The following is a 26114-nucleotide window of genomic DNA, read 5'->3' as shown; positions in this document are numbered from 1 at the left end:
TTTGTAGGTCACTCAGGACTTGCTTTATGAATCTTGGTGCTCCTATACTGGGTGCATATATATTTAGGATAGTTAGCTCTTCTTGTTGAATTGATCCCTTTACCATTATGTAATGGCCTTCTTTGTCTCTTTTGAATTTTGTTGGTTTAAAGTCTGTTTTATCAGAGACTAGGATTGCAATCCCTGCCTTTTTTTGTTTTCCATTGGCTTGGTAGATCTTCCTCCATCCTTTTATTTTGAGCCGATGTGTGACTCTGCACATGAGATGGGTTTCCTGAATACAGCACACTGATGGGTCTTGACTCTTTATCCAATTTGCCAGTCTGTGTCTTTTAATTGGAGCATTTAGTACATTGACATTTAAAGTTAATATTATTATGTGTGAATTTGATCCTGTCATTATGATGTTAGCTGGTTATTTTGCTCGTTAGTTGATGCAGTTTCTTCCTAGTCTCGATGGTCTTTACATTTTGGCATGATTTTGCAGCGGCTGGGACTGGTTGTTCCTTTCCATGTTTAGTGCTTCCTTCAGGAGCTCTTGTAAGGCAGGCCTGGTGGTGACAAAATCTCTCAGCATTTGCGTGTCTGTAAAGTATTTTATTTCTCCTTCACTTATGAAGCCTAGTTTGGCTGGATATGAAATTCTGCGTTGAAAATTCTTTTAAGAATGTTGAATATTGGCCCCCACTCTCTTCTGGCTTGTAGGGTTTCTGCTGAGAGATCCGCTGTTAGTCTGATGGGCTTCCCTTTGAGGGTAACCCGACCTTTCTCTCTGGCTGCCCTTAACATTTTTTCCTTCATTTCAACTTTGGTGAATCTGACAATTATGTGTCTTGGAGTTGCTCTTCTTGAGGAGTATCTTTGTGGCGTTCTCTGTATTTCCTGAATCTGAACGTTGGCCTGCCTTGCTAGATTGGGGAAGTTCTCCTGGATAATATCCTGCAGAGTGTTTTCCAACTTGGTTCCATTCTCCCCATCACTTTCAGGTACACCAATCAGACGTAGATTTGGTCTTTTCACATAGTCCCATATTTCTTGGAGGCTTTGCTCATTTCTTTTTATTCTTTTTTCTCTAAACTTCCCTTCTCGCTTCATTTCATTCATTTCATCTTCCATTGCTGATACCCTTTCTTCCAGTTGATCGCATCGGCTCCTGAGGCTTCTGCATTCTTCACGTAGTTCTTGAGCCTTGGTTTTCAGCTCCATCAGCTCCTTTAAGCACTTCTCTGTATTAGTTATTCTAGTTATACATTCTTCTAAATTTTTTTCAAAGTTTTCAACTTCTTTGCCTTTGGTTTGAATGTCTTCCCCTAGCTCAGGGTAATTTGATCGTCTGACACCTTCTTCTCTCAGCTCGTCAAAGTCATTCTCCATCCAGCTTTGTTCCGTTGCTGGTGAGGAATTGCGTTCCTTTGGAGGAGGAGAGGCGCTCTGCTTTTTAGAGTTTCCAGTTTTTCTGTTCTGTTTTTTCCCCATCTTTGTGGTTTTATCTACTTTTGGTCTTTGATGATGGTGATGTACAGATGGGTTTTTGGTGTGGATGTCCTTTCTGTTTGTTAGTTTTCCTTCTAACAGAGAGGACCCTCAGCTGCAGGTCTGTTGGAATACCCTGCCGTGTGAGATGTCAGTGTGCCCCTGCTAGGGGGTGCCTCCGAGTTAGGCTGCTCGGGGGTCAGGGGTCAGGGACCCACTTGAGGAGGCAGTCTGCCCGTTCTCAGATCTCCAGCTGCATGCTGGGAGAACCACTGCTCTCTTCAAAGCTGTCAGACAGGGACATTTAAGTCTGCAGAGGTTACTGCTGTCTTTTTGTTTGTCTGTGCCCTGCCCCCAGAGGTGGAGCCTACTGAGGCAGGCAGGCCTCCTTGAGCTGTGGTGGGCTCCACCCAGTTCGAGCTTCCTGGCTGCTTTGTTTACCTAATCAAGCCTGGGCAATGGCGGGCGCCCCTCCCCCAGCCTCGCTGCCGCCTTGCAGTTTGATCTCAGACTGCTGTGCTAGCAATCAGCGAGACTCCGTGGGCGTAGGACCCTCCGAGCCAGGTGCGGGATATATTCTCGTGGTGCGCCGTTTTTTAAGCCCGTCGGAAAGGCGCAGTATTTGGGTAGGAGTGACCCGATTTTCCAGGTGCCGTCCGTCACCCCTTTCTTTGACTCAGAAAGGGAACTCCCTGACCCCTTGCGCTTCCCAAGTGAGGCAATGCCTCGCCCTGCTTCGGCTCGCGCATGGTGCTCGCTCCCACTGACCTGCGCCCACTGTCTGGCACTCCCTAGTGAGATGAACCCGGTACCTCAGCTGGAAATGCAGAAATCACCCGTCTTCTGCGTCGCTCACGCTGGGAGCTGTAGACTGGAGCTGTAGACAGGAGCTGTTCCTATTCGGGCATCTTGGCTCCTCCTTGAGTGAGTATCTTAATCCTGAGTTCTAGTTTGATTGCACTGTGTTCTGAGAGACAGTTTGTTATAATTTCTGTTCTTTTACATTTGCTGAGGAGTGCTTCACTTCCAACTGTGTGGTCAGTTTTGGAATAGGTGTGGTGTGGTGCTGAGAAGAATGTATATCATTGATTTGGGGTGGAGAGTTCTGTAGATGTCTATTAGGTCCGCATGGTGCAGAGCTGAATTCAATTCCTGGACATCCTTTTAACTTTCCGTCTCATTGATCTGTCTAATGTTGACAGTGGGGTGTTAAAGTCTCCCATTATTATTGTGTGGGAGTCTAAGTCTCTTTGTAGGTCTCTAAGGACTTGCTTTGTGAATCTGGGTGCTCCTGTATTGGGTGCATATATATATTTAGGATAGTTAGCTCTTCTTGTTGAATTGATCCCTTTACCATTATGTAATGGCCTTCTTTGTCTCTTTTGATCTTTGTTGGTTTAAAGTCTGTTTTATCAGAGACTAGAATTGCAGCCCCTGCTTTTTTTTTGTTTTCCATTTGCTTGGTAGATCTTCCTCCATCCCTTTGTTTTGAGCCTATGTGTGTCTCTGCACCTGAGATGGGTCTCCTGAATACAGCACACTGATGGGTCTTGACTCTTTATCCAATTTGCCAATCTGTGTCTGTAGCCATTTACATTTAAGGTTAATATTGTTATGTGTGAATTTTATCCTGTCATTATGATGTTAGCTGGTTATTTTGCTCGTTAGTTGATGCAGTTTCTTCCTAGCATCAATGGTCTTACAATTTGACATGTTTTCACGGTGGCTGATATCAGTTGTTCCTTTCCATGTTTAGTGCTTCCTTCAGGAGCTCTTGTAGGGCAGGCCTGGTGGTGACAAAATCTCTCAGCATTTGCTTGTCTGTAAAGGATTTTATTTCTCCTTCACTTATGAAGCTTAGTTTGGCTGGATATGAAATTCTGGGTTGAAAATTCTTTTCTTTAAGAATGTCAAATATTGGTCCCCACTCTCTTCTGGCTTGTAGAGTTTCTGCCAAGAGATCTGCTGTTAGTCTGATGGGCTTCCCTTTGTGAGTAACCCGACCTTTCTCTCTGGCTGACCTTAACATTTTTTCCTTCATTTCATCTTTGGTGAATCTGATGATTATGTGTCTTGGAGTTGCTCTTCTTGAGGAGTATCTTTGTGGCATTCTCTGTATTTCCTGAATTTGAATGTTGGCCTGCCTTGCTAGGTTGGGGAAGTTCTCCTTGATAATATCCTGAAGAGTGTTTTCCACTTGATTCCATTCTCCCCATCACTTTCAGGTACACCAATCAGACGTAGATTTGGTCTTTTCACATAGTCCTATATTTCTTGGAGGCTTTGTTCATTTCTTTTTACTCTATTTTCTCTAAACTTCTCTTCTCGCTTCATTTCATTCATTTGATCTTCAATCACTGACACCCTTTCTTCCAGTTGATCAAATCGGCTAGTGAAGCTTGTGCATGCATCACGTAGTTCTCATGCCATAGTTTTCAGCTCCATCAGGTCATTTAAGGTCTTCTCTACGCTGTTTATCCTAGTTAGCCATTCATCTAATCTTTTTTGAAGGTTTTTAGCTTCTTTGCCATGGGTTCAAACTTCCTCCTTTAGCTCGGAGGAGTTTGTTATTACTGCTTGTCTGAAGCCTTCCTCTCTCAACTAGTCAAAGTCATTCTCCGTCCAGCTTCATTCCATCGCTGGCGAGGAGCTGCATTCCTTTGAAGGAGAGGAAGCGCTCTGATTTTTAGAATTTTCAGCTTTTCTGCTCTGGTTTCTCCCCATCTTTGTGGTTTTATCTATCTTTGGTCTTTGATGATGGTGACGTTCAGATGGGGTTTTGGTGTGGATGTCCTTTCTGTTTGTTAGTTTTCCTTCTAACAGTCAGGACCTCAGCTGCAGGTCTGTTGGAGTTTGCTGCAGGTCCACCAGTGGAGGCTGCAGAACAGCAAATATTGCAGAACGGCAAATGTTGCTGTCTGATCGTTCCTCCTGGAAGCTTCATCTCAGAGGGGCACTGGGCCATATGAGGTATCAGTCAGCCCCTACTGGGAGGTGCCTCCCAGTTAGGCTACTCGGGGGTCAAGGACCCATTTGAGGAGGCAGTCTGTCCATTCTGACATCTCAAACTCCGTACTGGGAGAACCACTACTCTCTTCAAAGCTCAGTTGGAAATGCAGAAATCACCCGTCTTCTGCATCGCTCACCCTGGGAGCTGTAGACTGGAGCTGTTCCTATTCGGCCATCTTGGAACCCCTCCCAGGTATCCCTTTTATACAGTGATTTCCATTTCTTTAGACAAATATCTAGTGGTGGGATACCTGGATCATATAGTAATTCTATTTTTATTTTTTTTTTAGAAACCTCCATACTGTATTAGTAAATGGCTGTACTAATTTACATTCCACCAACAGTGTATAAGAGTTTCCTTTTCTCTGGCTGGGCATGGTGGCTCACTCCTGTAATCCCAGCACTTTGGGAGGCCGACTAGGGCAGGTCACTTGAGGTCAGGAGTTCAAGACCAGCCTGGCCAACATGGTGAAACCCCATCTCTACTAAAATACACACACACAAAAATAGCTGGGTGTGGTGGCAGACACCTGTAATCCCAGCTACTCAGGAGGCTGAGGCAGGATAATCACTTGAACCCAGGAGGCAGGGGTTGCTGTGAGCTGAGTTCACATCATTGTACTCCACCCTGGGCAATAGAGTGAGACTCCGTCTCAAAAAACAAAAAAAAAGATTTCTCTTTTCTCTGCAGCATCACCAGCATTTATTTTTTCTTTCTTTCAGCCATTCTAACCAGGGTGAGATGACATTTCATTGTGCTTTTGATTTTCATTTCCCTGATGATTAGCGATATTGAGCATTTTTCATATACCTGTTGGTCATTTGTATATCTTCTTTTCAGAAATATCTATTCAATTTATAGACCACCTTTTAGTTGGATGATTTGAGTTTTTGCTGTTGAGTTGTTTGTGTTCCTTGTATACTCTGGATATGTCTCTTGTCAGATGAATAGTTTGCAAAGATTTTCTCCTATTCTACAGGCTGTCTCCTCACTCTGCTGATTGTTTACTTTTCTGGGCAGGAACTTTTCGGTTTAATATATTGCCACTTGTCTATATGTTTGTTGCCTGTGCTTTTGAAGTCTTAGCCATGAAATCTTTGCCTAAACTAATGTCCTAAAGCATTTCTCCTATGTTTTCTTTTAGTGGTTTTCTAGTTTGGGTCTTACAGCCTTTAATCCATTTTTAGTTGATTTTTTGTGTGGTGAGAAATAGGCATCTGGTTTCATTCTTCTGCATACGGATATTCAGTTTTCCCAGCACCATTTATTGAGGACATTGTCCTTTCCCCAATGTATGTTCTTGGCACTTTGTCAAAAATCAGTTGGTTGTAAATATACGGATTTATGTCTGGGTTCTCTATTGTGTTCCATTAGTCTATGTTTCCCCTTTCATACCAATGCCACTCTGTTTTGGTTTCTATAGCTTTGTTGTATATTTTGAAGTTAGGAAATGTGATGCCTCTACATTTGTCATTTTTGCTCAGCATTGCTTTGGCTATTTGGGATATTTTGGTTCTATATGAATTTTAGAATTCTTTTTCTGTTTCTGTGAAAAATGTCATTGATATTTTGATAGGGATTGCATTGATTCTATAGATTGCTTTGGGTAGTATGCTAATTTTAACATTATTAATTATTCCAATACATGAGCATGGGATGTCTTGACACTTGTTTGTTTCCTTTTCAATTTCTTTCATTGCCTTTTTTTTTTTTTAAGAGATAGGGTCTTTCTATGTTGCCCAGGCTGGATTCAAACTCCTGGGCTCAAGTGATCCTTTCATCTCTGTATCTGGGACTACAGGTGCACCACCACACCAGGCTCATTGCAAGAGATATGGAGAAATATTTCCCTAGGACCTGAGTATTGTTAGATAAGACTGCAGGTTTTTTAGATTACAAATTGCTCCATGTCAACACTGAGAACCAGATGACAAGTGACAGAGGTACCCATGTGTCCTTAAAAAATTCTTTTGTGGGTATAGATGTAATATATGGGGCCACTACCAACTCAGTACTACTTTACACAAAATGATTGATATGGAATTGTTTGGATAATATGATGTCTAACTCCAGAAGGTAGAGACTTTGGTTAAGAATTTCAAGGGAGAGATTTCTTTCCTTTTAATTTTTTCCACCAAGATCCAAAGCCTCCACAGATATGCCTCTTCATCATTCTTGCCAGGCAGGTTTTAGTTTTCCTAATTTACTCAATGAATGTGGTGTCTTTCGGAAATCTCTACTTTGTGTAAGAATTGTCAAGCTAATTAAGCCTGTGTGCTTGGTTAGCACCCCTATCTTTATTGAAGCACTTATCACAATAGCTAAGATATGGAATCAATCTAAATGTCCACCAACAGATAATGGATAAAGAAAATGCATTATGTATACACAATGGAATACTATTCAGTCGTTAAAAAAATAAAACCATGTCATTTGTGGCAAATGGATGAGCCTGGAGAACATTGTGTTAAGCGAAATAAGTCAGGCACAGAAAGATAAATACTACATGTTCTCCCTCAGATGTGGGAACTAAAAGAAATTAACAAAATGGGCAAAGAAATTAACACAATCTTACATCTTTTAGCAAACTAGGAATTAGAGGATATGTCTTTTGAGTGATTAAGTGCATATGCCACAAACTTTGACTCAATTCCGTGTTGAATACTTTTCCCCTAAGATCAGGGACTGGCAAACTATGTCTACATCTCTACTTTTTCTCAACATTTTACTGGAGGTTGTAGCAAATATAAGGGTAAGAAATAAAAATAAAAGGCATACAGGATAAAAAGGAAGAAGCAAAACTCTCTTTGTTCATAGAAAACATGACTGTGAACATAGAATATCCTAAGGAATTCACAAAGAAACTATTAAAAGTAAAGAGTGAATTTAGCAAAGTTCTAGCATACAAGGTGAATATATAAAAATCAACTGTATTTTCCAGTGGTGAATACTGAAAACTAAAATGTAAAAGATACCATTTACGATAGCATACAAAAAACTTATAAAACACATAAGGATAAATTAGTAAATACTGTACAAGACTTATACACTGAAAATCACAAAAGAGGCAAATTTTTCTGTAAAGGACCAGATAGTAGATATTATAGGCTCTGAAGATTGCATATGGTCTCTGTTGCATATTTTCCTCTGTTTTTCTTCCTTTTTTCCTTTCCTCTTTTCTACAAACTTTGAAAACTCTTATCACCATTCTAAGGTTATTGGCATTACAGAAACAGACTGGAAAGAATTCAGCTCATGAACTGTAATTTGTCATTCCCAACCACAAAATAGTCTCTGAGAGAAAATTAAAGCATTCTAAAGGCCGGGCGCGGTGGCTCACGCTTTTGGGAAGCTGAGGTAGGTGGATCACCTGAGGTCAGGAGTTCGAGACCAGCCTGACCAACGTGGTGAAACCCAGTGTCTACTAAAAATACAAAATTAGCTGGGCATAGTGGTGCATGCCTGTAGTCCCAGCTACTCGAGAGGCTGAGGCAGGATAATCACTTGAACCCGGGAGGTGGAGGCTATAGGGAGCTGAGATTGCACTATTGCACTCCAGCCTGGGCAACAAGAGTGAAACTCTGTCCAAAAAAAAAAAAGAGTTCTAAATATAAGGAACTATTTACCATCCTGATAGAGTACACTATTTGATATCAGTAAATTGCCAATTTCAGCCAGGATCCTAAAAAGTAGGTCTATGGAATTGTCACAAGAGATGTTGGTGTCCTTGGAGCATAAGGCTCTTAAGACAGAGTGTATCTTGCACCTAAGTGGTCTCCTGTCCTGTACCTGGGAGAAGATAGTTCACAGACAGCTGTGTGGTTTGTGCAAGACTCATTTAGCAGAGAAATGCCCAATATGGTTGTGCTGACAATTGGTGCTCTCCACCCTGCATCTTCTGATGCAGGCAGTGAACACTCTCATGACAGGTGTACATGGTGCTAAGTACCCTAAGGACTATTTAAAAATGTAAATACGTGACACACATGATGAGGCATCACCACTGTCAGGTGGTCAATGGATAAACTCTGGAATCAGACAGTCTGAGTTCAAATCCTGACTCTCCCTTACGCCCACATGGGTGACCTGAGGAAGGCGCAAAGTCCTAAATGCTGTTTGCAATTCGAAAAATTTGTTAAAAGAGGGAAGATCTGCTTGCCTGGAAGGGATGGTATGGGGTGCAGGACCTGGGAAAATTGGGGTGCCAAGTACCCATCTCAGAAACCTTCACAGCCCAGCTGGACTCACATCTCATGCCCATGGACCCACACCTTCCTGGGTGGCCACAGAGAAGATATGCCTGCTCCAAGACTTGAGAGGCCCTAGAGGGATCCCTGGAGGAAACAGTGTGTGGTAACCCTGAGCTACCACATGGGAAGGGGACATTGTGGGGGTAAACTAGTGTCCTCTGCAGAGGTTGCCTGAAAGGAAGAGGTCAGGGCAAATCACGCCCCACACTGCTTGGTCTCTCCTCCCCATCAGAGCACGTGTCTTGCAGCTGCAGCCCTGCTGGGCCACCTGGGTGCACCAGTAATGGCATGAGACAGAGTTGATCCCTGCTGGCCACACCCCCACCTCTCCTACCCTGACCTCCTGTGAGCCAGGGCCCCTTCCTGGCAGGATCTAGGGCGCTCTGACCTCTGACCTCCAATAACCCCAGAGAAAAGGGCTAGGAGACTCACAGGCACTAGTTGCTGCCCCTAGGTTAGATGCTGAGGAGCCTGCAGACCTGGTGATCTGGGGGTGACAGTTATGTGGGGTCCTATAATACACAGTCCTGGATGCTTTTCCATGTCATCGGGCACACCTGGTGCCAAGCACCTGCAAAGAGCATGAGCTGTCTCAAGCTCTCAAAAGTCCTGCTGGGATTCCCCTTTGTCCTTTGGTGCCTTGTCTTCCCTCTCTGCTCTAGCACACACTTTCTCTGGTGTGTGTTCCAATGACATGTCACAAACATCCAGCATGGTTTGCCTTGGAGGAACATGCAGCTAGGAGACCTCTCCAAATTTCTTACTAGACTCTCAGTGTCAGACAGCACACAAACTGCTCTTCACGGACAACTTCCTCAGTAAGCCTCACCCCGCCTGGCCCCCAGGCCACCATCCTCCTTTTTCTCCCTGCCCTCTCTGTTCCTGCTTCTGGCAGGAATCCTCCTGCTGCACCTGTGCATCTTCTGAAAACAGTTCCTGGGAGCAACACGGTCACCTTTACCCCCTCGGTTTATATCACCCCTGAGAGGCCTTATGCAACCCAGCAAGCTCAGTGTTTACATCAGAAGGGGGCCTCCCCTTGGTGTCATGCCAGGGCTCTCAGAAAGACAGCACTGTATGCTTGCACCTCAAAGAAGTGCAGCCACTTAGGAAAAGTACTGATCCTACCTGCAGGGGGAAACTGACTTCTCTTCCTGTCGCTATCTGAGCGACATCTGCGCTCCTTCAATAGCAGGAGCGCTATATGGGCCATCTGATTACTCCCCTGATCCTTGCTTAAAAGAGACTGAGGGCCGGGCATGGTGTCTCACGCCTGTAATCCCAGCACTTTGGGAGGCCGAGGCGCGCAGATCACCTGAGGTCAGGAGTTCGAGACCAGCCTGGCCAACATGGTGAAACCCCATCTCTACTAAAAATACAAAAATTAGCTGGGCGTGGTTGCGCACACCTGTAGTCCCAGCTACTTGGGAGGCTGAGGCAGGAGAATCACTTGGATCCAGGAGACGGAGGTTTGCTTGAACCCAGGAGGCAGAGGCGGAGGCGGGAGAATCGCTTGAACCTGAGAGGTGGAGGCCTGAGGCAGGAGAATGGCATGAACCCTGGAGGCGGAGCTTGCAGTGAGCCAAGATCGCGCCACTGCACTCCAGCCTGGGCGACAGAGCGAAACTCCGTCTCAAAAAAAAAGGGGATCAAGATAAAGGGCCACTGCAGCAGTGCCATGCACCATCAATATCTAAGCCCCTTTGGGTGGTGGCAGGTTTGCAGTCATTGTGTCTGTCCCAAACCCTGGCTCCTTGTCAGGGGTCATTGAAATCTGCAGAAGGGCTGACAACACTCAGAACCACAACTTATTCTAGGAAGGGCTTAGACCTGAGCACCAGGTCCTGCCTGCCTATAGCATCCCTGTTGCAATGAGGGAAGATCAGCTCTACGGAGCAGAAATCTGTTTTGGGAGCCCTTTCCTTCCTGGCTACAGAGTGACTGAGGCCCACCCAGCCAAAGCATACCTGTTACTATTGAAGGAGATAACATCGCTAAGAAGGAGCATATATCAGAATAAACTTCTGTTCCTCCTTGTGTTCGGATCACCCGGGTCCCATCCCGCTAGAGCACATCAGTTGGACGGGTATCTCTATAACGGTGCTGGAGATAATTCTGTTGCTGTCTATAGTCAGACCACCTGGGACACACCTGGCCAGAATGCATCGGTAGCCTTGAGGGTTCCAACACCACACTTGTGCTTAGAGGCCCTCTTGTGTCCGCCTACATGCAAAGCACCTGGGCTCCACCTGTTCAGAGCACATGTGTTGCAATGGGAGGGCACAGCACAACTGTGACAAAGAGTCCTCTTTCTGCACCTCGTCAGAGCATTTGGGGCCCACCTGGCTAATAAACACATGTTCCCACTTTCTATCAGGCACCCACGGGAGCACATGTGCTACTGTTGGAGGGCCTGACACCACACTTGTGGTTGGAGATGCTACTGTTTATGAATCCAGTTCAGAGCACCACGGACCTTCCAGCCCTGGGCATAGATTGGTACAGTGGGAGGGGACACCGCCATACCTGTGTTTGGGAACATTTCCATACCCACCATCATTCAGAGAACCTGGGATGCTTATGGCCAGAGCACTGTTGTAGCCAGAGGAGGGCAACATCATAAACTTAGAGGAAGACACTTTTAGTGTCCCTTTCAGTCCAAACTCCTGGAGCGTAAGCCAGGGAGCCTACCCCTTTTGACTTTGTAGGAGCCAACATCACTGAGAAAATACTTGTGCTTCAGGTGGAGTAAATGTCCCTCTGTGGTGGGCACAGCAAATGGCAGCCTTGTCTTTGGTCCCTGCCCCCGCCCCCAAGCCCCCGTTGCCTGCCCAGGTCTTCACAGAAGATGGAAGTACTGGATTGCCAACCTACTCATTTTTCTCTAGTGAAAGAACCAGGAACTCAGTGCCTAAGAAGCAAAATCTTCTTGTAGAAATGGCAGTGGGTGGCCACTGTCCACCATGAAAGAACCTTACTCTGCTGGAAAGGCTCAACCCATTCTAGTTATGTCAAACTCAACCTGCTCTTCCTCCTCCTCTAGCAAGCTTGAAGGTGAGCACCTCGAAGGGCTTCTTTTTATGTTGAAAGGCACGGGTTTGCATGGCGGTTCATCAGAGGTCAATACCCCAGTTTGAGAAAGTCCACTGTGGGGAGGAAAGAGAGACTTGTAAGTACCAACTGTGCTCCACTCTGGTTTTGTCTGTAAGCCTGGAAGACTCAAGCTCTGGGACACTTTCCTTCTAGTCTTGGGACTGGTAGCACCTCCAGCAACTCCCACCCCGCTGCGGGCAAGCTGTTCCTTTTCTTTTAACCTATTTGTCTCCATGGTCCTTTTACTTGCTTTTCCGGATTAAATATCTAAAGCCTCCTTCATGTTCATGAGTCTCTGCTCTGGGGTCTTCACTTTTAGGCCAGTCTAGAAGGAAGGATGCCTTCTATGAATGGTGACAGGTTGAGCCAGACTTGACATTTCAAAATTTTCTGTGGCTCAGCTAATGTGACATGGAAGTAGCACACTCTAGGACTGTTTGTGCTGACTTCTGATGTCTCTGATGAGAGTGTGAGGATATCAGCCCAGGAAGAGGAGAGGTCCAGAGAAAGAGAGACCAGGACATGCCCTTGCCACCTCCCTCTGTGCTTCCCCTACACCATCTGACCTCCCCAAAGGTCAGATCCTCCCTGCTGTGTGACAGGAAAGCACACTTTACTGTTTTCGTCTTTTAAAAATGTTTGAATATCTTTTCTATGTGTTTTTTTTTTAAATTAGATTGGGGCCAGGCATTCCACTGTGAAATACAAATAAAACCCAGAGGCCGGTTGAGGTGGCTCACGCTTGTAATCCCAGCACTTTGGGAGGCCGAGGTGGGGTGGATCACCTGAGGTCAGGAGTTCAAGACCAGTCTGGCCAACATGGTGAAACCCCATCTCTACAAAAATACAAAAATTAGCCGGGCATGGTGCCATGTGCCTATAATCCCAGCTGCTCGTGAGGCTGAGGCAGAATTGCTTGAACCCTGGAGGTGGAGGTTGCAGTGAGCCAAGACCGTGCCACTGCACTCCAGCCTGGGTGACAGAGCGAGACTCCGTCTCAGAAAAATAAACAAACAAATAAATAATAAAACCCTGAGCCCTCTGACTGACTGAACAGACCCCTCTTGGCCAAGGTGACCCCCAAAAAACTAAAAACTAAGTTTCCCGGCCGTAAGGAGATGGGAAATTGCGCCTCCGTATACCCCTTCCTCACTGTTACCAGGGTTTTTTTTTGTTTGTTTCCCAAATTAAACAGAAACAAGCCCTGGAAAAACAAAGAATGGAACACCCCTCCGCTGACTTCAACCAACTGCCTGCTGATGCGGCCTGACTCCCAGCCCTTTTTGCAGTTTTGAAGTGACAAACTGACTAGGCTACAAAGTATTCAACCATGGGCTGGTTCTGGCTGGTTCACCGAGGCTGTGTACAAAGTGTCTTCATGTCCTGTGTTTCACCTTTTAACATACAGAACCTAATTTTACTGCATTTTAATGTTAATTCTCCACTCGAAGGTGAACATGGGATGTATGTAACACATATGTTTGCTTATCAAGCACACATATGACCCCCTTTCATGAATATTCATAGTTCCCCCTGTGACCTGTTGAATATGTCTGTTTAGCCAACCTGTTTGGCATAAAACTCCTATCCCACCCTATCTCCCTCAAAGTACCTGTTTGTGGTCTCAGCTGGAGGTGCCACTTCCCAGCCTGCAGTTTGCAACCCTTCTCAAGAAATAAAGTCTTCCTTTCCAAGTTTACGGGTCTCATATTTTTAGTTGACACCCCCAAGTTGGTGCTTCACATGGAGAGGATAGGTTTGGCATCCAGCCTCTTGGGCCTGCAAGAACAATGAAAGAAAGAGCTCATGCCACTGGGTAATTACTGAAACATTTTAAGTCTAGGATAAAATATATGACTCAAAAGTTGTTATCATACTCCTTTAAAAAGTCCTGCAAAAAATTATTTTGAGGCCGGGCGCAGTAGCTCATGCCTGTGATCCCAGCACTTTGGGAGGCCAAGGAGGGTGTATCACCTGAGGTCAGGAGTTTGAGACCAGCCTGGCCAACATGGTGAAACCCCATCTCTACTAAAAATACAAAAAATTAGCTGGGTGTGGTGGTGGGTGACTGTAATTCCACCTACTCAGGAGTCTGAGGCAGGAGAATTGCTTGAACCCGGGAGGCAGAGGTTGCAGAGAGCCGAGATCGCGCCACCGCACTACAGTCTGGGCAACAAGAGCGAAACTCCCTCTCAAAAAGGAAAAAAATGAAAGAAAAATAAATTATTTTCAAGTAAGTACCTGGATTGGGCCTATGTGGGAAAAGATACAGTTTGTCCCTATTTAAACCACTAAAATCTCAAGTTGCAAAAGTTGACACTCCACCCAACCCATGGCTGATCATAGAGTCAGGCTGAATCTAAACTAGACTTCATTGTTGAAAACTCTATAATTTCTAAGGCATTTTATAACCCAGGAAAACCACCTTCAGATGGAGGAAAGAGGGAAAACCCAAGAATTTCTGCCAGCTTCTTATGTATTATTTTATTAAACATTTACTTAGTGATGAACCTGCACTAGACACTGTGCTAGTCACTGGTGAGATAGGGTTCAAAGACATTTCTTGACCTACAAGAACTTACATTCTAGTAGGAGAGACAGATGCATATCAAAAATTTAAATAGGACTTTGTGCTAGGGATCGGAGAGCAGGTAAGAAGGACATAGTATTAAATACGGGAGAGAAGGAACTTTAATTGCACCTCAAGAAGCAGGAGGAAGCCTCTAGGTAGAGTGGGGCTATTTTCACATCAAGGAAATATTATGTGAAAAGTCAAGGAAGCCAGAGAGGCTGTGAGCCTGTGGGACACAAGGAAGGTAGTCAGGTACAGCTGGAGAATGAAGTCAAGCCTGGGGTGTACGGCTGTAATGATCAGCAGGGGCCAGATAACGGACAAATTAATGTACGTGATGGGCACTTGTCGGTCATCCTGAAAGTATGCAAAGTCACGAAAGGAGTGAAAGCAAAGAAGTGAAATGATGATATGTAGCTTTTAGAAACATTCTTGTACTTCCTTGGAAGGAAGAATCCAATGGGTGCTAGAACAGAGGTAAAGGGGCTCCGGGGGTTCTTTGGCCAAAGCAAAGACGAGACAATGAGCTCCCGTTCTAGAGGAGCTGAGAGTGGCTGGAGAGGAAGTAGCAGAAGAGGGAAGTGAGACGATTAACTGCCACACATGACCAGGGTGACTGTAGCCACTTGCCTTAGACAAATGGACATGCATTGTTTTCGTAGGGTGAGTTCAGCTTTCAATAGTGTTCGGTTTTTAATAGTGTGAAACCCTGTGGATGAATCAGTAATATTCAGAAGGCAGTTGACTCATTTATTTGTCAATTTGCCATATTTATTGAGCATCTGGGATGAGCTGGGACCTATTATAAGTAGCAGCAAAAATGTCAGCAGAGCTTACATTCGAGTTGGCGGGGGGAGAAAATAAACAACAATCGTAATCACACATAAATGATGTGGCAGTTTAGCTGGTAACACATGTTATGAAGAATAAAATTGCCTGTGGAGGTTTGACACTTGGAGTAAGGAGAAGCAGAAGTCTCCATGTGCACGTGGAAGAGAGGACAACCTCACTAGGAAGGTGAGTTTTGAGCAAGGTCTAGAAGGGGGTCATCAAGTGACCCACACAGACACGTGAGGGAAGAACACTGGAAACAGCAGAAGTAGCCACTGCAAAGGATCGAAGGGAGGATGCCTGGCATCCTCGTGGGGCAGTCAGTAAGCTGATGGGGCTGCGGTCAGCACGAGAGAGAGTGGGGGCGAGGAGAGCAGAAAGGGATGGGGACACACAAAATAGGGAGGGCCTTGTAGGTTGTCATTATAAAGTGATGACATCCTCAGAGATGGGAATGACTGGAGGGCTTAAAGCATAGGACAGCATGATCTGCCGTAGATTTTAAGCGGATGATTTTGGTTGCTCGGATGAGCACGGAGGCTGAGAGACCAGTCAGGAGGCTGAGCCCCTAAGGTGGAGGGTAATGATGGCTTGGACACACAACAGCAGTGGGGGGCATGAGAAGTGGATTGTGCACATTCACTTTGGATTGTGTACATGTATCAAAGTATTGTTGTGGAATTGAATGATGGGAGTGTGTGTGAGAGAAAGGGTCCAGGAATTTGCTGTTCTGGGAGGGGGAAATTTTTTCTCATTAATGAATACTTGATCACAGGGACTATGGAAACAAATCACACAGATGGCATCCAAAAATAAGAAGGGAAGTTTGGGCGCGGTGGCTCATGCCTGTAATCCCAGCATTTTGGGAGGCCAAGGGGGGTGGATTGCTTGAGCCCAGGAGTTTAAGACCATTCTGGGAAACATGGCAAAACTCCATCTCTACAAAAAAATACAAAAATTAGCCGGGCGTGGTGGCATGCACCTATAGTTCCAGCTACTCAGGAGGCTGAGGCAGGAGGATCAATTGAGCCCAGGAGGTGGAAGTTGTAGTGAGCCATGATTGTGCCACTGCACTCCAGCTTGGGTGATAGCAAGACCCTGTCTCAAAAAAAATAAGAAGGGAGAAAACAGAGGAATGATGGATGGACTCCTCCTCCTCTTTCTCCTCCTCAAACATGCGGTTGAGTTCGAAGACCATTGGCTGTGTGTATGGGAGAAATGCTGACGTCTTCACCTCAGACAGTTATGAAAACAAATTCCAGATGGATTCAAAAAACAAGGTTTTCAAAAAATTATAAACGTCTTAGAACAAAATGTAAGAGACCCTGATTAATCCCTTGGGCTACAAAGGAGTTTTTAAGAATAGAAAGATTATAAAATAAGATACTGAGAAATGAGATTGCATCAAAAGAAAATTTATTATCTGGAAACCATAAACGAGATTAACTTTTGCCCCAAAAGTATTTAATTCAGAAAATAAATAGGCAAGCCATAAGCTATAAACTGGGGAAATTATTGGCAAAACATATATCTAGCAAAGGACAAGTGTGCAAGATCTATAAAGAACTCCTACAGGTCAACTATAAAATGCCCAGCCACATAATAAATGGGCAAAATATTTGAACAATTCTCCTATAAAGAAGTATCATAAAACAAGCACACGTAAAAGTATTCAACATCATTTGTCATTAGAGAAATGAAAATTTAAAACAACAATACACCACTACACAGCCACCGAAATGGATAAAGTTTAAAAGGTATCCAACCCAGGTATCCAAATGTTGGCAGGCATATGGAGTACCTGGAACTCTTCTTCATTTCTGGAGAGAATATAAAATTGTAAAACCACTTTGGAAAAAAGTTCATATGGTTTCTCAGAAAACTACACATATATCTAGTCTGACTGAGCAATTTCATTCCTAAGTATTAACCCAAGAGAAATAAAAACACATGGACACAGAATCACTTGCACCAGAAAAGTTCACAGCAGCCTTATTCATAATATGTAAAACCTGGAAGTACCTCAGATGTCTATTTATATAGAAAGCAAAAACAAACCATGGTGCATTCATACTCAGATATCAAAGTGAATGAATTCCTGATAACAGGCAACATGGATGGATCACAGAAACATGATGCTGAATGAAAGACTCCTTAAGGCTTAAGAACAGTGCATAATGTATGCTCCCATTTATATGAAATTATAGAGCAGCCCAAACCTGTAATGAAAACAATTCCTGCAGCATTGAAGAGAGGGATGCCTTCATTCATTTTTGTGTTGCTATAAAAAGAATACCTGAGGCTGGGTAATTTATAAAGAAAAGAGGTTTCTTTGGCTCACAGTCCTGCAGGCTGTATAAGAAGGATGATGCCAGGATCTGCTTCTGGTGAGGGCCTTAGGCTGGCAAAGAGGAGCTGGCATGTGCAAAGATCACTAGGCAAGAGAAGAAGCGAGAGAGGAGGGGAGGAAGGTGCCAGGCTGTTTTTAACAATCAGCTCTTGCAGGGCTTAATAGAGTGAGAACTCACTCATCACTGTGAGGAAAGCTCCAAGACATCATGGGGGCTCCAACCCCATGACCCAAACACTTACCATCAGGCTCCACCTCTAACGCTGGGGATCACATTGCAACATGAGATTTGGAGGGGTCAAACAAACCAAACTATAGCATGGGGGAGTCAGATGTGGGGGGTCGGGGCAGCCCCTCCCATAAGTGATCTCACAGGGCGAAGATCTGAGCTGTTGTCTCCCTGTGCTGACCAATCTGCTCTGGAGAAAGGGGATCTGACTGATCTGACGGGGTCAGGGTCCCAGTGTTCCACACATAGGTCCCAGGAGTTGGAGTTTCATTGCACATGAACTTCTCATCAGGGTATGTTGCAACAGATGCTCGGACAAGGTCCGCATGTCAGCAAGCCTTCTCTGCATCTAAGCTTACTTGCTGCTTTGTCTTTCTTCCTGCCTTACCCCCTGCCCAGCACCCCCACTGCTTGCCTTCCTATTATCCACCATACCCCTTCCTTAGCATTAATCTTTTCTAAATGAATTGTCTAAAATATATTACAAACTACCATAGCAGTTATGAACAAAAGTTTTGGAGATGGAGAGTGGCAATAATTGTACATCAATATAAATGTACTTATTGCCAGTGAATTGTGCATTTAAAAATTGTTAAAATGGTAAATTTTATGTTGTTTATACACAATATAAAACCATTACGCTACGTAAGTGAGCCCAGCCACAAAGAACCACATAGTCTATCTCTGCCCTAATTATCGTCAATTTCATATCGTCAACTGCAATAGCAGTTGCCTATAAAACAATCAACGACGTTAGCATGACGTTGTGACTGCCTTTGCATCAAATGTTTTTTTTCGGATAAACCTTTTGGAGGTAAAATTTACATGAAAAATGCACCTGTTTTATGTTCGCTAAGTTTTAACAAATGTGTACACTCAAGGCCCCACCACAATTCAGGTACAGATCATTTCCATCATCCTAAAAAATCCCCTTATGCTCCTTTGTTGTTAGTTCCTCCGCATATCTAACCACAAACAACCATTTATCCGCTTTCTGACATTTCATATTAATCTTGCTATTTCTAAAATTTGTTATACACAGAATCAGAGTATGCAGTTTTGGGTGTGGGTATTTGATAAGCATAATGGTTTTGAGATGTGTCTGTGTTGTTGAATAAATGTCAGGTTCATTCTACTCTATTTCCCAGTAGTACCCCATGTTCATAGTGGAATCATCCACAATAGCCAAAAGCTGGAAGCAACCCAGGTATCCAGCAATGTAGGAATGGGGAAACAAAACATACAATGGCATATTATTCAGCCTCAAAAGGAAGGAAATTCTAATACATGCTACAATATGGATAAAACCTGAAAAAAAACTATGCCAGGTAAAACAACCTGGACATAGAAGGACAAAGGTGTCATTCTACTTATATGATATACCTGGAATAGGCAAATTCATAGAGACAGAATAGTGGTTACCAGAGCTGTGGGGAATGTGTGCTGGGGAGTTATTGTTTAATAGGTACAGAGTTTCAATTTAGGATGATGAAAAAGTTCTGGAGATGAATAGTGGCGATGGTTATACAACAATATAAATGTACTAAATGCCAGTGAATTGTACATTTAGAAATTGTTAAAATGGTAAATTTTGTGTTATGTATATGCCATATAAAACTATTATAATACATGAATGAATCCAGCCAGAAAGAACCACATAGTCTATGGTTTCATACAGGAAATGTCCAGAGTAGGTAAACTCAAAGAGAGAAAGTCGATTAATGCTTGCCTAGAACTGGGAGGTGTGGGGGTATTAGAAGGTGATGGCTAAGGTGTACAAAGATTCTTTTTGGGGTGATGAATACTTTACAAAATTGTGTTGATGGTTGCACATTTCTGTGAATAGACTAATAGCCATTGAATTCTATACTTCAAATACATGGATTGTATTTTACATGAATTGTCTCTCAAAAAAGCTATTAGAAAAGAATCAGCCGATACAATTCATCTCAATAGTTGTGAACAAACTAATCGAAAAAAGCTAATATTCCTTTCAAAAAAAATCTTTCAGTAAAGTAGGAAGTGGACGGAATTTCCTTATTTCTTTTATGTGATAATGCATGCATTGAACGAAAAAAAACTTCAGTTAACAGCATACTGAATATTTTCCCCCCAAGATCAGGAAGTAGAAAATGAAGTCCATTGACTTCTCTTGGATTCAATGTTGTATTGGAGGTTGCAGCAAATGTGGAGGATAAGAAAAATTAAAATCATACAGATTTAAAAGGAAAGGGTAAACTACTCAATGCACAGAAATCCTGATTGTGTATGCAGAAAATCCTATAATCCATCTATAAAAAATTATAAAAAGTAAGGTATGAATTTTGCAAGGTGCTAGTATACAAGATCAATATATATAAAACAATTATTTTTCTGTAAACTGCCGTATACTAATACACGTACAAATGTGTGTGTGTGTGTGTGTGTGTGTGTGTGTGTGTGTGTGTGTATCAGCTGGTGGAGTGAAGAATTAATATTGGTAAGTTGTCCGTTTCAGCCAGAATCCAGAAAGCTGGTCTAGGGCAGCAGTCCCCAACCTTTTTGGCACCAGAAACTGGTTTCGTGGAAAAAAATTTTTCCATGGGTAGCGGGGGGATGGTTTTGGAATGAAACTATTCTCAGACATTAGATTCTCATAAGGAATGTGAAACCTAGATCCCTTGCATGCGCAGTTCACAATAGGGTTCGCACTCCTAAGAGCATCTAATGCCGCTGCTGATCTGACAGGAGGCGGAGCTTAGGCGGTAATATCCGCTCACCTGCCACTCACCTCCTGCTGTGTGACCCAGTTCCTAACAGGCCACAGCCAGTACTGGTCTGTGGCCTGGGTGTTGGGGACCCCTGGTGTATGGAATTGCTCCAAGACATATTGGCCTTATAAGACTTTTTAAGACAGCATGGATCTTGCACCTACCTGATCCGCATCTCATGTCCTTGAGCTTGGGGAGAGATCCCGCACAGATAGCCGTGTGGTTGGCTGCAAGGTTAAATTAGAAGAGAAAGGCCTGATGGTGTCAATGCTGACAGTTGTTGGTTTCTGCAAATGTAAAGGTAAGAAAGAGAAAGAAAAAGGCATGCAGATTAAAACAGAAGTTAAAGTAGCTTTATTCACATAAACATGATTCATAGAAAACGAAGAAGCTACCAGAAGTCAAAAGTGAATTTACCAAGGTCTCAGTATACAAGTCAATGTGTATTTTTAAAAATTTCTGTATACCATTGATGAATGATTGAAAACTAAAATTGGAATGATACCATTTACAGTAGTGTTTACAACTCACATAAAATACATAGGAATAAATTAGCAAAAGCTCTGCAAGTTAGACTCACAGAAAACTACAAAACAGTGGTTACAAATTTTCTCTTAAAAACCCAGATAGTAAATATGGCGTTATGGGTTGCTTATGGTCTTTTCCACTTAGTCTCGTTCTTATATTTTTAGACCCTTAATTTTTTCTTTTTCCTTGAGACAGAGTTTCGCTCTTGTTGCCCGGGCTGGAGTGCAGTGGCATGATCTCAGCTCACTATAACCTCTGCCTCCCAGTTCAAGCAATTCTCCTGCCTCAGCCTCTCGAGTAGCTGGAATTACAGGCGCCTGCCACCACACCCAGCTAATTTTTTGTATTTTTAGTAGAGATGGGCTTTCATCATGTTGGCCAGGCTGGTCTTGAACACCTGACCTCAGTTGATCCACCCTCCTCGGCCTCCCAAAGTGCTGGGATTACAGGCATGAGGCACTGCACCCGGCCAAAAATGTTAACACTGTACTTAGTCACTGGCCTTACAAAAATAGTTCAGGGGCCAATTAGCTTGTTGACCTTGCTACAAAATATTGTTGAGAGAAAATCTTAAATCTTAAAAGACCTAAATATATGGAGACATATATCATGCTCCTGTACTGGAAAAGTCAATATTGATAAATTGTCAATATTGACCAGGATCCTGAAAAGTCTTTCTAAAAAATGAGACAGGCCCAGGTGCAGTGGCTCACACCTGTAATCCCAGCATTTTGGGAGGCCGAGGTGGGTGGATCACCTGAGGTCAGGAGTTCAAGACCAGCCTGGACAACATGGTGAAACCCCGTCTCTACTAAAAATACAAAAATTAGCCGGGCGTGCTGGTGGGCGCCTGTAATCCCAGCTACTTGGGAGGCTGAGGCAGGACGATTGCTTGAACCCAGGAGGCAGAGGTTGCAATGATCGTACCACTGCACTCCAGCCTGTGCGACAGGGTAAGACTCCATCTCAAAAATAAAACAAAACAAACAAGACAGGGTCTCGCTCTGTTGTCCAGGCTGTAGTGCAGTTGTGTGATCATAGATCACTATAACCTCATACTCCTGGGCTCAAGTGATCCTCCCACCTCAGCCTCCTGAGTAGCTGGGACTATAGGCGTATGCCACCATGCCCAGCTAATTTTATTTTAAAATTTTTTTGTAGAGACAGGGTCTCACTGTGTTGCTCAGGCTGGTTGCATACTCCTGGTCTCCAGCATTTCTCCTGCTTCAGCCTCCCAGTGTTGAGATTATAGGCAGGAGCCACTGTGCCCTGCCATAAAGCTTTTAAATCAGCATGAATCCTGTGCCCACCTGATGTACCATCTCCCATCCTTGGCTTTGGGAGAAGATAGGCCACAGGGACCTTCATGGTTTGCTGCAAGCTCAATGAGAATAGAAATGCCCAATGGGGATTTGCTTGTGAACAGCAGTCCCAGGTCATCTTCAGAGGAGACCAAGGCCCCATTGTGGCCAATGGCCAAGATCTGAGTTTGAAGCAAAAAGGAAAGACTTCCTAGTGGGCCACGTAAGTGCTCATTATATGTGTGCCATGGACTAAGGACAATAAAAAATGGTAATACGTGATTTGTGCATAAATAGAGTCAGACAGCCTGGGTCAAATCCTGGCAGGGTCACTACCAGGGACTAGGACTGAAATGCTGTTTTACCAAATTTGTAAAAACAAGCGAAGAGAGCCTGCCTCCCAGGAAGAGATGAGGTTGGGTGCAGCATTCAGGCAGGTCAGGCCACAGGTTTCCCTTCTCAGAAAGCTTCACAGCCCAGCACGTCACGTCCCAGGCTCAAGTCTCTCCAGGGCGGCCACAGAGAAGGCTCCTGACACCGGGACTTGGAGAGGTGATCACAGAGGAGCATGAAGGAGGTGGTGGCCTGAGGAGGGGAGAGGGGAAACAGATGTCTTCAGCAGCAGCTGCCTAAAAGGATGAGGGTCCAGCCTTTTGTGCTCCATATTTGCACCCCATGATGGCGTCTCCTCCTCATCTTAGCACCTGCTGCAGCTACCTGGCCTCTTGGGTACATCATTCAGCTCGGGAACCAGCATAGCCCTCTTCCCTCCCCAGCTCCCTCTCCCACACCTGGCACTTCCAGTGAACCTGGTGCTGGGAAGACCTGGGCTGCTTCTGTACTCGCTCTGAGCAGGCTCTGCCCTCCAGTGACCCCAGGATACACCTGGACTGCTTGCAGAAGCTACGGTCCGGGCCAGGCTTCGCGGAGCCTGCAGACCTGGCTGCTGGTGCCCAACAGCTGCAGTCCTGAGCGGTGCTCATATCGCGCAGGGGCCGGTCTGGGTCTAAACAGCCGCTACCGGGTAGGCGGAATCCCGAAGCTCGAGAGTCCCCTGCTGGGGCTGGGCCGTTGGACCTCGCCCTTTGCCCTCTGCTGCGTTTCTTCGAGCCCTGGCCTCGCGCACCCTTTCTCTCCACGCGTTCCAACGGCGGCTCAATTGCGTAACAGGGTGTGCAGCGCACAGGCTGCTCTTCACCGGCAACCTCTTCTACAAGCTTCATACGCGCCCCTCGTCCCCCATCTGGTCTGGATCGCCTCGCGGTCCCGGCACAGAGCTCTCCTCGACCTTGCTCGCCCAGGTTTACTGCAGTCCCGCGCCTTTTCGGTTGGACATCACCGCTAGGAGGCGGTGTCTGATTCCGCAGGCTCTGGGCTCCTCTCTGGGGTTCTTACCTTGAATGTGTGCGGGACTCTGGTGTGGAGGTCTCAGGAGCCACTGCTGCCGGCTAGCACTACTAGGGTGTTCAGCTGAATATCTTGGAATGGTAGAGTCCTCCTCCAGGCTGCAAATGACTCCTTTCTGTTTGGGGTTTGAGCAGGTAGTGATCTCTACGAAGCTGGGCCACCCTGTCCTCCCCTCCATACTTGCCTCAGAAAGACTGAGTTGAAGTCCCCAGGAGAGTGCAGGAAAGGAAAAGCTAAGGCAGAGGGAAAAAGTAGCAAAAGAAGGATAATTAGAGAAGGGCTCCCCCCTCACCCTCATAACAGCGGGAGTGTCTGGAAGATCAACGGTGTCATCTTGTGGTCACTTCCTTCCAGTACAGTCCTGGACTCCTGAAAGGAAGCCTCTGTTCCAAACACCCAGAAGACACCTTGAGTAAGAAAGCATCTTCTCTGAGCCCATTTGCCAAAGTCAGTGACATCGCCAGCTTATACAGACCTCTTTGGAGGTCTGCCGTGGGTTCAGCAGGGCTGTCCCGTCCAGTCTTATCTGCACTCTGCTACTGGAGAGGTGGGCGAAGGAAGATGTTGATGGAGGCCATTCACCCAGATCTCCAGCCTCACTAAAGTCAGACAAGACACAGGGAGAAAAAGCTTCCAGACACTCTCAAGAAGGAACTTTCCAAACACATCTAACAGCTGTGAGCTCTGTAACTCCAAATTCCAGTACTCCTGCTGCTGCCACTGCCGCTATTGTTGGGTGGAGGAGAGCTACCTCTGCCCCCTAGGTTTCCTGTATAGTCACTGCTGAAGACCTAGGCTTGGAGAAGAGAGGTGAGCACCAGTGGAGCCCCAAGGCGTTGGAGGATAAAACTGAGGCCCCTTCAGACAGCAGGGCCACTCAGCCTGCCTGTTCTTTCTCCCTTTCTGCTGAGAAAATTTCAGACTTCCTGACTGTGGCCACTTTCATCATGTGGATCCTGGCTCCTGCCTCATTAGTAGACACTGATTCAGCTGACCTGTTTGCCAGACCCTCCAATCCTGACTGCCCCTGTACTTACCCCCCCCCATCAGATATTGATCATGAAACGAGAAGCCCTACTTATAATTCTCCTTTCACCATTCTTGCTGAATCTCCTTCTCCCTTTAGGATTAATAATAATTGTTAGTCCAAGCTGCACCATTTTGCAAGTCCCTGCCATTTCACAGACCCTGGTCAGAATGAAAGATTCCATGGGGCCCTGGGCTGTGAGAAACATCCTGCCCAGCCACCTGACTTCCTTATCACATCCTGCTGGGCAAAGGCCCAAGGAACATCTTTATCAACATCCTCCTGGGCAGCAAGCCATACGGGCCCAGACCCCTCCTGCCCAGACCTGTAATTACCCCAGCCTGTAAGCAGCAGTGAGCTCTGGCACCAAGCTGGTCCCCTCTCTGCAAGTTGTACTGGCAATAAACCTGTGTTGCTGTAGAGCCACCAACTCTCTCTCTCTCCCCTTCCCTTCAAAACCTAACAATAATAATGATAGAATAACAATAAGGCAAACCACCCAATTAAAAAAACTGGACAAAACATTTGAGCAATAATCCCTTTCCAAAAGTTGATTCAGAAATGTTCAACAGGCCCACCAAAAATGCTCAATATTATTAATCATCAGGGAAGTTTAAATGAAAACCACACTGAGATGCCATTGCACATCCACCAGAATGCCTGTAGGGATGTAAAGCGCTTGGAACACTTCTCACTTGCAGTAATAATATAAAATGGTACAATCACATTGAGAAAATGTCATAAAACTTATTATAAAAGTAAACATACACATTCTTACTCAGCACTTCCATTCTGAATTATTTCCTTGAGAGAAATGAAAACATGGAAGATTTCTCATTGCAATGATAATATGAAATGGTACAATCACATTGAAAGAATGTCATAAAACTTACTATAAAACTAAATATATACTTATTCTTACTCAGTGCTTCCATTCTGAATTATTTCCTTGAGAGAAATGAAAACATATGTACACAAAAAGGCTTGCATGACACAAAAAGCCTTGCATAGTAGGCAAAATTCATAAAAGCCTTATTCATAATAAGCATAATATGGAAATATCCCTGATACCAATCCACATGAGAATAGAAAAAGAAATTATGAAGTATTCATATTACTCAGCTATCAAAGAAAATAACCCCTGATGACAGACAACAAAAGTACAAAAGCACAGCATTCTGCTAAGTGAAAAGAATCCTTGCACAGGAATGCATACTGCATGTCCCTATTTATATGAAAAGCTAGGACAGCCAAAACTAACCTATCTTGGGACAATCCTTGAAGAATTGGAGA

At 44.6% G+C, this 26114-nt stretch overlaps 2 long non-coding RNA genes across 7 annotated transcripts, besides 1 other annotated feature; one reads left to right on the top strand and one right to left on the bottom strand.

Moving 5' to 3' along the window:
- Nucleotides 1551-2116: an enhancer, noted in NCBI's record as "OCT4-NANOG-H3K27ac-H3K4me1 hESC enhancer chr19:35351359-35351924 (GRCh37/hg19 assembly coordinates)". NCBI's record gives its function as "activates a minimal SCP1, AML or CMV promoter by ChIP-STARR-seq in primed H9 embryonic stem cells {active_cell/tissue: H9 hESC(primed)}" and the evidence as "EXISTENCE:reporter gene assay evidence [ECO:0000049][PMID:30033119]".
- Nucleotides 1917-13520, top strand: LINC03049 (long intergenic non-protein coding RNA 3049). 6 transcript variants are annotated; one of them, NR_182284.1, is made up of 4 exons: nucleotides 1917-2037; nucleotides 2269-2397; nucleotides 11777-11902; nucleotides 13022-13520. It is a non-coding gene; the product is annotated as a long intergenic non-protein coding RNA 3049 (long non-coding RNA). The 6 variants fall into 6 exon arrangements; NR_182286.1 differs by having other exon boundaries at nucleotides 1917-2122; NR_182282.1 differs by lacking the exon at nucleotides 11777-11902.
- LINC02965 (long intergenic non-protein coding RNA 2965) lies at nucleotides 11646-23860 on the bottom strand. Its single transcript, NR_186333.1, has 5 exons — nucleotides 23783-23860; nucleotides 22753-22972; nucleotides 20723-20845; nucleotides 13439-13605; nucleotides 11646-11879 (listed from the first exon to the last, which is right to left on the bottom strand). It is a non-coding gene; the product is annotated as a long intergenic non-protein coding RNA 2965 (long non-coding RNA).
- Nucleotides 23861-26114: the final 2254 nt, after the last annotated feature.

This window comes from Homo sapiens, chromosome 19 (genome assembly GCF_000001405.40).
Source record: "Homo sapiens chromosome 19, GRCh38.p14 Primary Assembly".
NCBI classification, from domain to species: Eukaryota; Metazoa; Chordata; class Mammalia; order Primates; family Hominidae; genus Homo; species Homo sapiens.
The sequence above is the reverse complement of the archived record's forward strand: the minus strand, read 5'-3'. Positions and strand labels throughout refer to the sequence as shown.